The sequence below is a fragment of the Homo sapiens genome, chromosome 16 (assembly GCF_000001405.40).
Source record: "Homo sapiens chromosome 16, GRCh38.p14 Primary Assembly".
NCBI classification, from domain to species: domain Eukaryota; kingdom Metazoa; phylum Chordata; class Mammalia; order Primates; family Hominidae; genus Homo; species Homo sapiens.
The window spans coordinates 67,564,227-67,580,243 of NC_000016.10; the positions used below are offsets into that span (position 1 = coordinate 67,564,227).

Here is a 16,017-nt window from a genome sequence, read left to right on the forward strand (position 1 = left end):
TCTTTTGCTTTTCCGTAAATATTCTAGTGCCTTAATATAGTTCATTGCAGCAGTTAATGTATCAGTTCGGGTTGTTTTGGAGAGAAGAAAGTCTGGATTAACCTGTTTTTAGGAAGGAAGCTATGTTAAGTTTATGAAGAAATTAAACAGCCTGGTCCTAACCAAAGTTGTCCAGTCCACTGTATGTAATCTCAATGTGTAGCTCCTCACTGCAGTCCTCTTCGTAGGCACGCTTTCTATGTCTCCTTTTGGAACCCTGCAAAATATTCCTGCCACCCCTCTTCCTCAATAAAATTGCATAGAGTAACTAAATGCAGTAGCGTTGATTGATAGTTAGACTTGGGAATAGAATCACCTTTAATTATCTAATATGTTAGTCCAATTGTGTAATTTATTGCATTCTTTTGTGACTTTGTTTTCCTTTTGAAATTGTGGTTAAGTAGCATGTTTTATTTATTTAAATAAGCTCAACATTGAGTTAAAAATTAAAATACAGCAGGTGTATAATCGAGCCAGGAGTAAAGCTTGTTTTCCCGGGTTAGTACTGTGCTCCATAGACCATATTTTGCTTCTTGGTTTGGTTGTTTCATATGCAGTCATCAGCTTCTTGGGTTTATACGTCATTTATGCTGTTTTAGTGGAATAGACCTTTTCCACACAGTTGCTATCCTTTGAAATTCCCATATGCCAGGAATCATGCTTTGTTTTGTTTTTATTAAAAAACAATCTACGGAGAGAATAAATTGAGGATGAATTGATATGTTAGGGTAACCCAGACCTTTTTTTTTTTTTGAGACGGAGTCTCGTTCTGTCCCCTAGGCTGGAGTGGCAGTGGTGCGATCTCGGCTCACTGCAACCTCTGCCTCCCGGATTCAAGCAATTCTCCTGTCTCTGCCTCCCAAGTAGCAGGAATTACAGGCCCGTGCCACCACGCCCGGCTAATTTTTGTATTTTTAGTAGAGACGGGTTTTCACGATGTTGGCCAGGCTGGTCTCGAACTCCTGACCTCAGGTGATCCACCCGCCTCAGCCTCCCAGAGTGCTGGGATTACAGGCGTGAGCCATCTCGCCAGGCCAGGACCTGTTATTTAAATTAGTGATAGGAGGATGATTAAAACAGGAATGTTTGCCTGCATAAGAAAATACTGCCTATTTAAGAGTAGTTGTGGCTGGGAGCGGTGGCTCACGCCTGTAATCCCAGCACTTTGGGTGACCAAGGCGGGAGAATCACGAGGTCAGGAGATTGAGACCATCCTGACTAACACAGTGAAACCCTGTCTCTACTAAAAATACAAAAAATTAGCCAGGCATGGTGGCACACGCCGTAGTCCTGGCTACTAGGGAGGCTGAGACAGGAGAACCGCTCGAACCTAGAAGGTGGAGGTTGCAGTGAGCCGAGATTGTGCTGCTGCACTCCAGCCTGGGCAACAGAGCAAGACTCTTATCTCAAAAAAAAAAAAAAAAAAAAAGAGTAGTTGTAAAGGTTAACTTTATCGGGATCCATTCAACCTATGTAAGAATTTAAGAGGTGAAGTTGTCCTTAAGATGCATTCAAATTCTAAGAGCTTTAGGATTTTATTTTAAAGTACACACGCAAATGGGGGCACTCACCTGGGACTTCTGAATGGCTTGGGGAGTTCCTTGGTGGAAGCCACTTGTGGCTGACTTAAGGCCCTGGGGAGGAATCCTGGGCAGAGCCTTGCAGGCTGGTGCCTCCTGGCCAAAAGTCACCTCTAGAGACTGCTTTTTTTGCTTCAGGGATGCTGCTGCTGTCACAGCCATTCCACATCATCTACGTTATAGACTCCACCTAATTTTTTTAAACTAGACCATCTGTCTGCCTAATTTACCTGTCTTGGCTCCAGATGACTTGACTGTTTTGCCAAAAATTAGGCCCCTCTTCAAACAACTCAGATGCATTATGATTTAAAAAGAACAATAATGGCAAATAATGTGTAACTTTGAAGACCATGGTTCTCAATTGATGTGATTTGTAGGTGGGACATGGTGGCTCACACCTGTAATCCCAGCACTTTGGGAGGCTGAGGCGGGCGGATCACCTGAGGTCAGGAGTTTGAGACCAGCCTGGCCAACATGGTGAGACCCCATCTTTACCAAAAACACAAAAATTAGCTGAGCGTGGTGGCATATGTCTGTTTCTGTAATCCCAGCTACTCAGGAGGCTGAGTCAGGAGAATCACTTGAACCCGGGAGGCGGAGGTTGCAGTGAGTCAAGATCGTGCCGTTGCACTCCAGCCTGGGTGACAGAGTGAGACTTTGTCTCAAAATTAAAAAAAAAAAAAAAAAAAAAAAAAGATTAGTCTTACCACATTTGTTTTGTTGTTCTTGTGGGGTATTTGTTTGTTTTGGAGATGGAGTCTCGCTTTGTCTACCAGGCTGGAGTGCAGGGGCACGATCTCGGCTCACTGCAAGCTCTACCTCCCAGGTTCACGCCATTCTCCTGCCTCAGCCTCCCGAGTAGCTGGGAGGACTACAGGCGCCTGCCACCACGCCTGGCTAATTTTTTGTATTTTTAGTAGAGACGGGGTTTCACCGTGTTAGCAAGGATGGTTTCGATCTCCTGACCTGCCCGCCTCCGCCTCTCAAAGTGCTGGGATTACAGGCGTGAGCCACCGTGCCCGGCCTGTGGGGTTTGTTTGTTTGTTTTAAGACAGGGTCTTTCTCTTTTACCCAGGCTGGAGTGCAGTGGTGTGATCACAGCTCACTGCAGCCTCCACCTCCCTGGCTCAAATGATCCTGCCACCTCAGCCTCCTGGGTAGCTGGGACTAATTTTTTCTAGGTATGGGGTTTTGTCATGTTGCCTAGGCTGGTCTCAAACTCGTGGCCTCAAGCAGTCTGTCTGCCTTGGCCTCCCAAAGTGCTGGGATTAGGTGTGAGCCACCGTGTCCAGCCCATTTTTTTTAAACACCTGTAAACTTTCTGTAGTCTGTCTTCGTATCTTTCCTGCTAGTATCTTTGTGCATTTTCTCAGTGATTTAATATTTGAATGCAAAGTTGTGGCATTGCATATAGACTGCCAAAATACAGTCCAAAGGTGAGGGTTAGGATGGTATTCTTTCACACTTGATCCTTGTTTTTGGTCACTCTTGGAATTTTCAGGGGTAGAAAATTTCATTCCCTTTGAGGTATGCTGGTAATAATAATGGACTCCAGTATGGAAGTGTTGGTTGGACTAAATATGCTAATCACCTATTTGTGTTACTAAAAATTGCCTCTCAACAGAGGAGACTTTAGCTTCATCTAAGTATTAGTGAGTTTTGTGGAGTTTAGCTAATTGTGAGATGGATTTCCTCTTAGAAGATGTACCTCATGTGCCAAATTGCTTGGAAACTTTTTTTTTTTAATACATTTTGATTGAGGCAGTGGCATGATCATAGCTGTTGCCCAGATAGGAGTGCAGTGGCATGATCATAGCTCACTGCAGCCTTGAACTCCTGGGCTCAAGCAGTCTTCCTGCTGCAGCCTCCCAAGTAGCTGGTACTATAGGCGTGTGCCACCATGCCCAGCTGATTCTTTTATTTTTTTGTAGAGACAGGATCCTACTATGTTGCTCAGGCTGGTCTTGAACTCCTGGGCTCAAGCAAGTCTCCCACCTCGGCCTCCCAAAGTGTTGACGTTACAGGTGTGAGCCACCATACTCGGCTTTTTTTTTTTTTTTTTTTTTTTTTGAGACAGGTTGTCACTGTGTTGCCCACACTGCAGTGCAGTGGTGTGATCATGGCTCACTGCAGCCTTGTCCCCCACCTGCCCCAAGCGATCCTCCCACCTCAGCCTTCCAAGTAGCTGGGACCACAGGCACACAACACCATGCCTGGCATATATATGTATACGTGTATATATATATATTTTTTAAGATGGAGTTCACTCTGTCTCCCAGGCTGGAGTGCAGTGGCATGTTCTGGGCTCACTGCAACCCCGGCCTCCCAGGTTCAAGTGATTCTCCTGCTTCAGCCTCGGGAGTAGTTGGGATTACAGGTGCCTGCCACCGTGCCGAGCTAATTTTTGTATTTTTAGTAGAGACGGGGTTTCACCATGTTGGCCAGGCTGGTCTGGAACTCATGACCTCAGGTTATCCACCCACCTCGACCTCCCAAAGTGCTGGGACTACAGACGTGAGCCACCATGCCTGGCCTTTTTTTTGTTGTTGTTCTTCTTCCCTGAGACGAAGTCTTCCTCTGTCACCCAGGCTGGAGTGCAGTGGTGCGATGGTGGCCCACTGCAACCTCCGTCTCCCGGGTTCAACCAGTTCTCCTGCCTCAGCCTCCTGAGAAGCTGGGATTACAGGTGCATACCACCATGCCCAGCTAGTTTTTGTATTTTTAGTAGAGACTGGGTTTCACCACGTTGGCCAGGGTGGTCTCGAACTCTAACCTCATGATCCACCCGCCTGGGCCTCCTAAAGTGCTGGGATTACAGGCGTTAGCCACTGTGCCCGGCCTGCCTGGCTAATTTTTATGTATTTTGTAGAGACGGGGTTTTGCCATGTTGCCCTGACTGGCTTTGAACTCCTAGGCTCGAGCAGTCCTCTGCTGTGGCCTCTCAAAGTGCTGGATTGCTGGTGTGAGCCATCACACCTGGCTATATTATTTGGAAACTCTTTTTTTTTTTGAGACTGAGTCTTGCTCTGTTGCCCAGGCTGGAGTGCAGTGGTGTGATCTTGGCTCACTGAAACCTCTGCTTCCTGGGTTCAAGCGATTCTCCTGCCCCAGCCTCCTGAATAGCTGGGATAACTGGCACACACCACTACGCCTGGTTAATTTTTGTATTTTTTTTAGTAGAGACAAGGTTCCACTATGTTGGTCAGGCTGGTCTTGAACTCCTGACCTTGTGATCCGCCTGCCTTGGCTTCCCAAAGTGCTGGGATTACAGGCGTGAACCACTGTGCCTGGCCTATTTGGAAACACTTAGTTCAAATTTAGCTCTTTATTTCATTTGGGATTTTATTTTATTCTTTTTTTGAGACAGAGTCTCACTCTGTCGCCAGGCTGGAGTGCAGTGGCACGATCTTGGCTCATTGCAGCTCCGCCTCCTGGGTTCAAACGATTCTCCTGCCTCAGCCTCCTGAGTAGCTGGGTTTACAGGCCTGCACCACCATGCCCAGCTAATTTTTGTATTTTTAGTAGAGACGGGGTTTCACTATGTTGGCCAGGATGGTCTCAATCTCTTGACCTCGTGATCCGCCCGCTTTGGCCTCCCAAAGTGCTGGGATTACAGGTGTGAGCCATTGTGCCTGGCCTGGGATTTTCTTTCTTTCTTTCTTTCTTTTTCTTTAGAGGTAGGTTCCACTCTACCTTTGCTTGAAGCTTGACAGTTCATTTTGTAATTTAGGGTGAAAAGATGCCATCTAACAAAGTATTCCGTTATTCGACTAAAAAAACTGTTTCATTGCTATGCTTCTAGGATTTTCAAAGGTCAGTAAAAGCTCCTTTTGCCAGTTATCTTTTTTTTTTTTTAATGAGACGGAGTCTAGCTCTGTCGCCCAGGCTGGAGTGCAGTGGCGCGATCTCGGCTCATTCCAACCTCCGGCTCCTGGGTTCAGGCGATTCTCCTGCCTCAGCCTCCTGAATAGCTGGGATTACAGGCGTGTGCCACCACGCCTGGCTAATTTTTGTATTTTTAGTAGAGATGGGGTTTCGCCATGTTGGTCAGGCTGTTCTCAAACTCCTGACCTCAGGTGATCCACCTGCCTTGGCTTCCCCAGTTATCTTACTAAACTGGAAAGCATAGCCTTTACTTGTGGCATGAACAAACTTAATCAGTAAGACCACTACTTGCTAAAGATACGGAAATAAACTGTTAGAGAGCCATTACTGCAGCCATAAGAATTAATTTTTTTTTTTTTTTTTTGAGACGGAGTCTCGCTGTGTTGCCCAGGCTGGAATGCAGTGGCAGGATCTCGGCTCACTGCAAGCTCCGCCTCCCGGGTTCATGCCATTCTCCTGCCTCAGTCTCCTGAGTAGCTGGGACTACAGGCACCCGCCACCACACCCGGCTAATTTTTTTCTTTGTATTTTTAGTAGAGACGGGGTCTCACGTGTTAGCCAGGATGGTCTTGATCTGCTGACCTCGTGATCTGTCTGCCTCGGCCTCCCAAAGTGCTGGGATTACAGGCGTAAGCCACTGCGCCCAGCCAATAATTAATTTTTTGGTAGTTTGAATATGTGTGCCATTATTTGGTTGCAATATTGCAGTGGAGTGTTTTGTTTTGTTTTTTTTTTTGAGACGGAGTCTCGCTCTGTCGCCCAGGCTGGAGTGCCGTGGTGCGATCTCGGCTCACTGCATGCTCTGCCTCCCAGGTTTGCACCATTCTCAGCCTCCCAAGTAGCTGGTACTACAGGCGCCTGCCACCACACCCGGCTAATTTTTTGTATTTTTAGTACAGACGGGGTTTCACCATGTTAGCCAGGCTGGTCTCGATCTCCTGACCTCGTGATCTGCCCGCCTTGGCCTCCCAAAGTGCTGGGATTACAGGCATGAGCCACCGCGCCTGGCCTTTTTTTTTTTTTTTTTTTTTGAGACAAGATCTCTCACTCTGTCAAGCAGGCTGGAATGCAGTGGCACAATCTCAGCTCAGTACAGCCTCAAACTCCTGGGTGAGTCTCCCACCCTGGCTTCCGAAAGCGTTAAGATTACTGGTGTGAGCCTGGAGTACTATTTTGCTACTTAGAAACCTTTAGTCCTTTATATATTTAGCAAATGTGTGAAAAAATAAATGAATGTTTTGTTATTGGCTTGATGGTGGACATTTATGGAATGGCTCGGTTAGTGACATGACATGAACAGGTGTTTTGTTTCTTTCCCAATTTTTTCTGTCTTCAGTTTTCCCTCATTTTTTTTCATACTATATGCGTATTTGTATGAATTTAGTGTTTCATAAAATGATTTGTGCTTTTCTTTTAGAATGATTACGGACCTGAAGCCAAAGAACAAGATGCGCTAGTGGACAGATTGCTGACCAGGGGCTTGAGAGCTGGGTTCTATTTTCCCTCCTCAAACTGACTTTGCAGCCACGGAGAGGTAAGTGCTATTTCCATTTTTTCTATCTTAAAAATGGTAGTAATATAACCCTCCTGGAGTTGGAGGATTTGTTGGCTAATTCTTGAATATAGGGGATGCAGGATATCAGGTGATTGAGAGCATACAGGCTTCATAATCAGAGTCCTGGGTTTGAAACTCTTTACGATGATATACTAGCTGGGTAATATGGGGCAAGTTACTTTAACCTGTCTACTCCTGTAGTCCTCACTTGTGAGAGAATAACACCACCAATCTCAGAGACTATTCTCCGTTAATGAGAATGTGTTTTGTAAAGCTTTAAGTACTATTCTGAACATGTACATAGAAAGATCCCAGGAAATTGTGGCTGCTTTTCTGTAGAAACCCTTGGAATGTGTATTTTGACTATTGGCAAATGAACTGAAAAGAAAGTCCATGACCTGTGGCTACTTGTAATTTTGATAAGAAACAGATGGAATCCTGTTCTTGGGGAACCTGGTATCCTGGATAAAAATTGTCTTAATTTGAGTTAGCCTAGCTCATTGCCCATTTTGCGTCAGAGTGTGACAGTGATTATCATTTTAATTTAGCCTGTAATTTTTGCTATAAAATATAATGGACATTATATGGAACTTGGAACAGACCTTCTATAAATATTGGAATCTACTATGCTTTGGGATCTCATAAACAACAAAGTGGGATTCTGGTTGTAAAAATTATCTCTTCTCACGGTACCGGAAAGCACATTTTTTTCAGACCCTAGAAAAATGTGAAAATAATTTAATCGTACATGTGTAATGGCAAAAAGGAATGTAGAAGTGGAAATTACAAATGCCAGGATTAGATAAGCTTATGTGAATGAATCATCTAAATGACTACTAAGATTTTTCTTACAAGCTCTGCCTGGAGCAAATAAAGAGAAGGGAATAGGAATGAAAGTTCTGTTATTCTTCAAACCTTTATTTTCCAAATGGGCAACTTGTTATCCTGCTAGATGGGAAGGAGAAGGTCTGTGGTAGTATTCTGTCACTCCAAAAATAACTTACGCCCTGCAGGTTCTTTTAGGAGTGTTGACACAGAGTGCATACCAAAAGTTGCTGATTTAAAAACTATTGAGAAATCGAACCTTTAAGAGTTTAGGGAATGGGTTTATAGGAACACGTTAATCACTTTCAAGTGTTATGACTAGCTTAATTGCTTAGATCCCTGTTTCTCAAACTGGGATATGAATACCCTTAGGGAATCAGGTGGTATGATTTCGGGGTACTTGGAGTCACAAGAAAGATAAACATGACCCATCTTCCTAGAACTTCAGTTATAGTCATAGAGGAGGTGGTGAGTTAAGTAATTTAACTGGTCAGTGATTAAATATTAAATATTGGCCAGGCACGGTAGCTCACACCCAGTACATTGGAAGGCCAAGGCCTCCAAAATCCCAGTAATCCTAGTACTTTGGGAGGCCAAGGCAGGTAGATCACTTGAGGTCAGGAGTTCCAGACCAGCCTGGCCAACATGGTAAAACCCCATCTCTACTAAAAATATAAAAACTAGCCGAGTGTGGTGGTGGGTGCCTGTAATCCCAGCTACTTGGGAGGCTGAGGCAGGAAAATCGCTTAAACCTGGGAAGCAGAGGTTGCAGTGAGCCAGGATTGTGTCACTGCACTCCACCCTGGGCGACAGAGTGACTCTGTCTGCCCCCCCCCGCCCCCCCCCCCAAAACAACAAAAGACTGGGCGCGGTGGCTCACGCCTGTAATCCCAGAACTTTGGGAGGCTGAGGTGGGCGGATCACAAGGTCAGGAGTTCGGGACCAGCCTGGCCAACATGGTGAAACCCCGTCTCTACTAAAAATACAAAAAATTAGCTGGGTGTAGTGGCGGGAACCTGTAATGCCAGTTTCTCGGGAGGCTGAGGCAGAAGAATTGTTTGAACCTGGGAGGCGGAGGTTGCAATGAGTTGAAATCACTGCACTCCAGCCCAGGCAACAGAGTGAGACTCTGTCTCAAAAAAACAACAAAAAAAACCCCAAGAAGACAATTAGCTGGGTGTGGTGGTGCGTGCCTGTAATCCCAACTACTCGGGAGGCTGAGGCAGGAGAATCACCTGAACCAGGAGGCAGGCAGAGGTTGCAGTGAGCCAAGATCACACCACTGCACTCCAGACTGGGTGACAGAGCAAGACCGTCTCAAAAAATAAATAAATAAATAAATATTAAATATTGTTATATTAAAACAAATAGACATTTTTGGAGCAGAATGAAAACTGTATGATTAAGATAACATAGGTCTTCAACAAAATGAGCATGAGTGCCTGAGGGTGGGAAGTTCTCTCTGTATAGGTTCTATAGTGGATATGTTTGAGAAGCAATACATTTGAGCTATAGAACAGCTCTGCTATCCTGCTCCTTACTTTGTCCTTGTAGTATTTGTGTAGGGAAAAACTCTCAAGCCCAGGTTTTTCCTTTGCTTTCACATAACAACCACCATCAACACAAAAGAAGACTTACGTGGCTGGGCCCAGTGGCTCATGCCTGTAATCCTAGCACTTTGGGAGGCCAAGGTGGGCAGATTGCAAGTCCAAGAGATTGAGACCATCCTGACCAACATGGTGAAATCCCATCTCTACTAAAAATACAAAATTTAGCCGGGCGTTGTGGTGCGTGCCTGTAGTTCCAGTTACTGGGGAGGCTGAGGCAGGAGAATCGCTTGAACCCGGGAGGCGGAAGTTGCAGTGAGCCGAGATCATGCCACTGTACTCTGGCTTGGCGACAAGGCGAGACTCCATCTCAAAAAAAAAAAGACTTACGTGACCAAAGATGGGGTGGAGGGATTTTCCTCACACACCAAACAGTGTATGCCAACTAGGTGTCATCCAACACCATCTACCCAAGATGGTGTCAGATCCCACACGTTTAGGGTTCAGTCCCATAAGACCACCTGTCCTTCCTACCAGTCACAAGCCCATTCCTTCAGAGCTTCTGACCAACTGGCTTCAAGTTGAGTTTCCCACGACCTCTTTCTTGGGTTCCATTAGTTTGCTAAAGCAGTTCACAGACCTCAAGGAAACACTTCTTTAGATTTGCCAGTTTGTTAAGAGGACTACTTTATTTATTTATTTTTGAGACAATCTCACTGTGTCGCCCAGGCTGGAGTGCAGTGGCGTGATCTCGGCTCACTGCAACTTCCCCCTCCCAGGTTCAAGCAGTTCTCCTGCCTCAGTCTCCCGAGTAGCTGGGATTACAGGCGTTCACCCCCACGCCTGGCTAATTTTGGTATTTTTAGTAGAGATGGGGTTTTGCCATGTTGGCCAGGCTGGTCTCAAACTCCTGACCTCAGGTGATCCACCCAGTTCGGCCTCCCAAAGTGCTGGGATTACAGGCATGAACCACCACGCCCAGCCAAAAGCATCTTTTTTTTTTTTTTTTTTTTTTTTTTGAGATGGAGTCTTGCTCTGTTGCCCAGGCTGAAGTGCAGTGGTGCAATCTTGGCTCACTGCAAGCTCCGCATCCCAGGTTCACACCATTCTCCTGCCTCGGCCTCCCAAGTAGCTGAGACTACATGCGCCCACCACCACACCCAGCTAATTTTTGTATTTTTAGCAGAGACAGAGTTTCACCTTGTCAGCCAGGATGGTCTTGATCTCCTGACCTCTTGATCTGCCTGCCTCGGCCTCCCAAAGTGCTGGGATTACAGGCGTGAGCCACTGCGCCCAGCCAAAAGCATCTATTCTTAACTGTGTGTTTTACAATTACTAAGTATTGTTATTAACATATTGCTCTTAACATAAGTGGCATTTAAGAATTACATTTTTTCCATATGTCCTTGTGGATAGAGGAAAAAAAAAGAATTACATTTTCTTTAGTCACGCGTTGTGTTGCATGCCTGTAGTCCTAGCTATTCAGGAGGCTGAGGCCGGAGGATCGTCTGAGCTGAGAAGGTTGAGGTTGCAATGAGCCGTGGTCCCACCACTGCATTTCATTCAGCCTGGGTGACAGAGTAAGACCCTGTCTCAATAAACAAATAAGTAAGTAAGAATTAAGTTTTCTGAGGCTGGGCGTGGTGGCTCATGCTTATAATCCCAGCACTTTGGGAGGATGAATTTTATTTTAATCCCATTAGGACTCCAAGTCCTGGCCATGCAGCTTAATAGCTATATGGCCTTGGGCAGGGCAGTTCTATTAGAGGTGACTTCCTTGGGCTTCCCTTTCCTCTTTTTTTTTGAGAGATGGAGTCTCGCTCTGTCGCCAGGCTGGAGTGCAGTGGTGCAATCTCGGCTCACTGCAGCCTCTGCTTCCCGGGTTCAACCGATTCTCCTGCCTCAGCCTCCTGAATAGCTAGGACTACAGGTGCGCCACCATGTCTAGCTAATTTTTGTATTTTTAGTAGAGACGGGGTTTCACCATATTGGCTGGGCTGGTCTCAAACTCCTGACCTCAGGTGATCCGCCCACCTTGGCCTCCCAAAGTGCTGGGATTACAAGCGTGAGCCACCGCGCCCAGCCAAGTTGGTTATTGTATATATTTTGCATTAAACTGAACTTCGATGACCACCAGATAATACAAATGTTAATGAACTAAACGGAAATATTGTGCCATAGGAAAATGGGTTAGATTTATCAGAAAATCTGTTGAGCAGTAGAGAAGTGGGTAAGAAAACAAGGTCTCGTTGCATGTTGCAAGGGATATAAAACCCTAACCCATTTAAAAAGATGAATGTCAGCCTGGGCAACTTAGTGAGACCTTGTCTGTAAAAAAAAAAAAAAAAAAAAATGTAGCCAGGTGTGGTGGTGCACACCTGTAGTCTCAGCTACTTGGGAGGCTGAGATGGGAGGATCACCTGAGCCCAGGAGGTTAAGGCTGCATGCACTCTAGCCTGGGTGACAGAGTGAGACCCTGTCTTAAAAAAAAAAAAAAAAAAAAAACGGAAGGCTGTTAACCAGCAAAATGCTTATGAGAGAGGTTTTTTAATAGCATAATACCAAAAAGTTAATTATTATGGAATAAAAGTAAAGAAAATCCCAAACTAAAACCTGGCGTATAGCAGAAGCTCAATAAGTAATTATTTGGATGAATGAATGCCTAGGGAAAAAAGACTAAACAGACGTGGAAATCATCAGTCAAAACTAGTAGTGTGAGGGTAGTTTGGTTTGGGGGTCACTTTTTGTTGGTTTTGTATAGTTTGTGTAATTTTTTTTAATGCAAATACTTTTTTTCTTTTCTTAGATTAAAGCAGAATTACCAAAATCTGGCTATAAAAATATTTAACAATAGGTGACTGGTTAAATTATGATACATCCCTATAATAGAATGTTTTTTTTTTTTTTTTTTTTTGAGATGGTGTCTCCCTCTGTCACCTAGGCTGGAGTGCAGTGGCACGATCTCTGCTCACTGCAAACTCCGCCTCCCGGCTTCACACCATTCTCTTGCCTCAGCCTCCTGAGTAGCTAGAACCGCTAATTTTTTGTGTTTTTAGTAGAGATGGGGTTTCACCATGTTAGCCAGGATGGTCTGGATCTCCTGACCTCGTAATCCGCCTGCCTCTGCCTCCGAAAGTGCTGGGATTACAGGCGTGAGCCACCGTGCCTGGCCTTATAATAGAATGTTGTGTAGCCATTATGTATAAAAAATATGTTGAAATGGCAAGATATTTGAAACAAAGTACAAAGAAAGCAGATTATCAAACAATATGTATGGTATGATCTCGTGAGAGTAAGTATATGTATATATTGGGGAGGGGACTGCGAATTTGGATATAAGCCAGAATGTGTGTATAAAACCTATAGGTAGGTTTCTTTAAGCTTTCTCCTGTTGCCTGTATTGCATAATTTTTAAAGGAAAAGGGAATGCAGTACAGTAGGAAGTAGCACTGAAACTTTCTGATAAAGGTAATGAAATGGGCCGGGCGTGGTGGCTCACACCTGTAATCCCAGCACTTCGGGAGGCCGAGGTGGGCGGATCACGAGGTCAGGAGATCGACACCATCCTGGCTAACACAGTGAAACCCCGTTTCTACTAAAAATACAAAAATTAGCCAGGCATGGTGGCGGGCGCCTGTAGTCCCAGCTACTTGAGGAGGTTGAGGTGGGAGAATGGTGTGAACCTGGGAGGCTCTGTCTCAAAAAAAAAAAAAAAAAGGATAATGAAATGATAAAAGGTGTTTTTGCCTAGTTTACTTGGCAGTAATGTCTAGACTTCTTTTTTTTTTTTTATTTTTTGAGATGGAGTCTCGCTCTGTTGCCCAGGCTGGAGTGCAGTGGTGCGATATTGGCTCACTGCAAGCTCCGCCTCCCGGGTTCATGTCATTCCCCCGCCTCAGCCTCCTGAGTAGCTGGGACTACAGGCGCCTGCCACCACGCCTGCCTAATTTTTTTTTTTGTATTTTTTTTAGTAGAGACGGGATTTCACTGTGTTAGCCAGGATGGTCTCATCATCTCCTGACCTTGTGATCCGTCCACCTCGGCCTCCCAAAGTGCTGGGATTACAGGCGTGAGCCACCGCTCCCAGCCAGTCTAGACTTCTTGAGTGGAATCGAGAGGGCCACTGGAACAGTTATAGAAGTGCAGCCAGGAGGAGAGTAAGGCAGGAGGAAGCTCCTGCATCTGCCCAGCTGTTAGAGGGGATTGAGGTTGCAGAGGCAGTTCTTGCAGTGATCCTCACTTAAATTTGGTCTTAAACTTTGTTTAAATATTACCCAAGTAATGTTTAGTTTCATTCTTTGGAAGAGTCTAATGATTGTAGAATTACATTAGAACCTAAAGAATCCCTTAACTTTGTTTTCCCAGAGCTGAAGACTATTAATAGTCTGGTGTGTTGACTTTGCACTTTTATTAACAGGCATGTACATATAATACAACTTTTTAAACAAAATATAATTGTGCTATGGAAATTTTCTGTAACCACCACATTTAATGTAAGAACATGAGGGGGAAATACTTCAAACAGTGCAAAATGTTAATAATGAAAAGTAATCCTCAGTCTTGCCTCTGATCTCTCATTTTTCTTCCTCAGAGGCAATAAATACCAATTTCTGATGTATCCATCCAAAGAAAATTCTGCGTATATTCAAATGTATGAGTTTATGTATCTTTTTTTTTTTTTTTTTTTTTTTTTGAGACAGGGTTTTCACTCTGTTGCCCAGGCTGGAGTGAGACACGTGATCTTGGCTCACTGCAACCTCTACCTCCTGAGTTGAAGTGATTCTTGTGCCTCAGCCTCCCAAGTAGCTGAGATTACACACATGTGCGGCCATGCCCAGCGAATTTTTGTAGTTTTAGTAGAGATGGGATTTCACCGTGTTGGCCAGGCTGGTCTCGAACTCCTGGCCTCAAGTGTTCCACCCACCTCGGCCTCCCAAATTGCTGTGATTACAAGCATGAGCCAATGTGCCTGGCCAAGTTTATGTATCTTTTTAAAAAAGCACAAATAGGCCGGGCATGGTGTCTCACGCCTGTAATCTCAGCATTTTGGGAGGCCGAGGCAGGCGGATCACCTGAGGTCAGGAATTCGAGACCAGCCTGGCCAACATGGTGAAACCCCATCTCTACTAAAAATACAAAAATTAGCTGGGCGTGGTGGCAGGCGCCTGTAATCTCAGCTACTCAGGTGGCTGAGGCAGGAGAATCGCTTCAACCCGGGAAGTGGAGGTTGCAGTGAGCCGAGATTGCACCATTGCACTCCAGCCTGGGGGACAAGAGCAAGACTTCGTCTCAAAAATAAATAAATAAAAATAAAAGGCCGGGCGTGGTGGCTCACGCCTGTAATCCCAGCACTTTGGGAGGCCAAGGTGCGTGGATCACCTGAGGTCAGGAGTTCAAGACCAGCCTGACCAACATGGTGAAACCCCATCTCTACTAAAAATACAAAAATTAGCGGAGTGTGGTGGCACACGCCTGTAATCTCAGCTACTCGGGAGGCTGAGGCAGGAGAATCGCTTGAACCTGGGAGGTGGAGGTTGCAGTGAGCCGAGATCGCCATTGCACTCCAGCCTGGGCAACAAGAGTGAAACTCCGTCTCAAAATAAATAAATAAATAATAAAAATAAAAAATAAAGCACAAATAGTAGCTTACTATACACGTTGTTCTAGACGTTTGAGTTGTTTTCAATCTTTGTTTTTTTTTGTTTTTTTTTTATTTGAGACGGAGTCTTGCTGCTCTGTCACCTAGGCTGGAGTGCAGTGCCGTGATCTCGGCTCACTGCAATCCTTGCTTCTCAGGTTTAAGCGATTCTCTTGTCTCAGCCTCCCGAGTAGCTGGGATTATGGGCACATGCCACCATGCCCGGCTAATTTTTGTATTTTTAGTAGATACAGGGTTTCGTCATGTTGGCCAGGCTGGTCTCAAACTCCTGACCTCAGGTGATCCACCTGCCTCGGCCTCCCAATTGCCCTGGCCTCCCAACTGCCCAGGCTTCCTGAAGTGCTGGGATTACAGGTATGAGCCACCACGCCCAGCTTGTTTTTAATCTTTTGCCATTAGAGAAAAATACCCTAGTAGTAGATAGCCTTCTTATATACACATCTTTAGGCTCGTGTACTAGTGTAAACATAGAGAATTGCTTGTATATTCCTAGAAGAGGGAATGGCATGTACAAAGGCCCAGAGGCAGGAAAGGAAAGACCTAGAATGTTCTGGCTACTGAAAGAAGTTCAGTGTGATTAGAGGCGAGTATGTCAGGCTGGATGCAGATCTGCTGATAGGGCCCTGAAGCACTTGGTAGGCCATGTGAAAGAGTTTGGACTTTAAGAGTTTTCAGCATGGTGGTTTCAGAAGGGAAGTCTTCTTGCTGATAATGGATTTACATTTTAGAAATCCGTGGCCGCTGTGTGAAAAATGGTGGGTAATGGAGCAAGAGGGGAAGCAGGGAAACTGTTTAGAAGGCCATTGCATTGGTCCATGCAAGATGTAATGCTGTCCTGACTTAAGGTGGGATAACTGGGATTGCTGTTTGTCTAGTTTGTTAAATTATAATGATTATTTTAAATTAATTTAGAGACAGACTCTCGCT

General features: G+C 45.1%; 1 protein-coding gene across 5 annotated transcripts in view; it reads left to right on the forward strand.

Moving 5' to 3' along the window:
• Positions 1-16,017, forward strand: part of CTCF (CCCTC-binding factor) — a 76,652-nt gene that overhangs the window by 1,701 nt on the left and 58,934 nt on the right. For 3 of the 5 annotated variants that reach the window (NM_006565.4, NM_001438969.1, NM_001191022.2), the window contains exon 2: positions 6,922-7,038. The gene's annotated coding sequence lies outside the window, so the exon portion shown is untranslated. Of the gene's footprint in view, positions 1-6,536; positions 6,615-6,921; positions 7,039-16,017 lie in introns of those variants that run through there. The other 2 variants (NM_001438968.1, NM_001363916.2) reach the window with 1 other exon arrangement.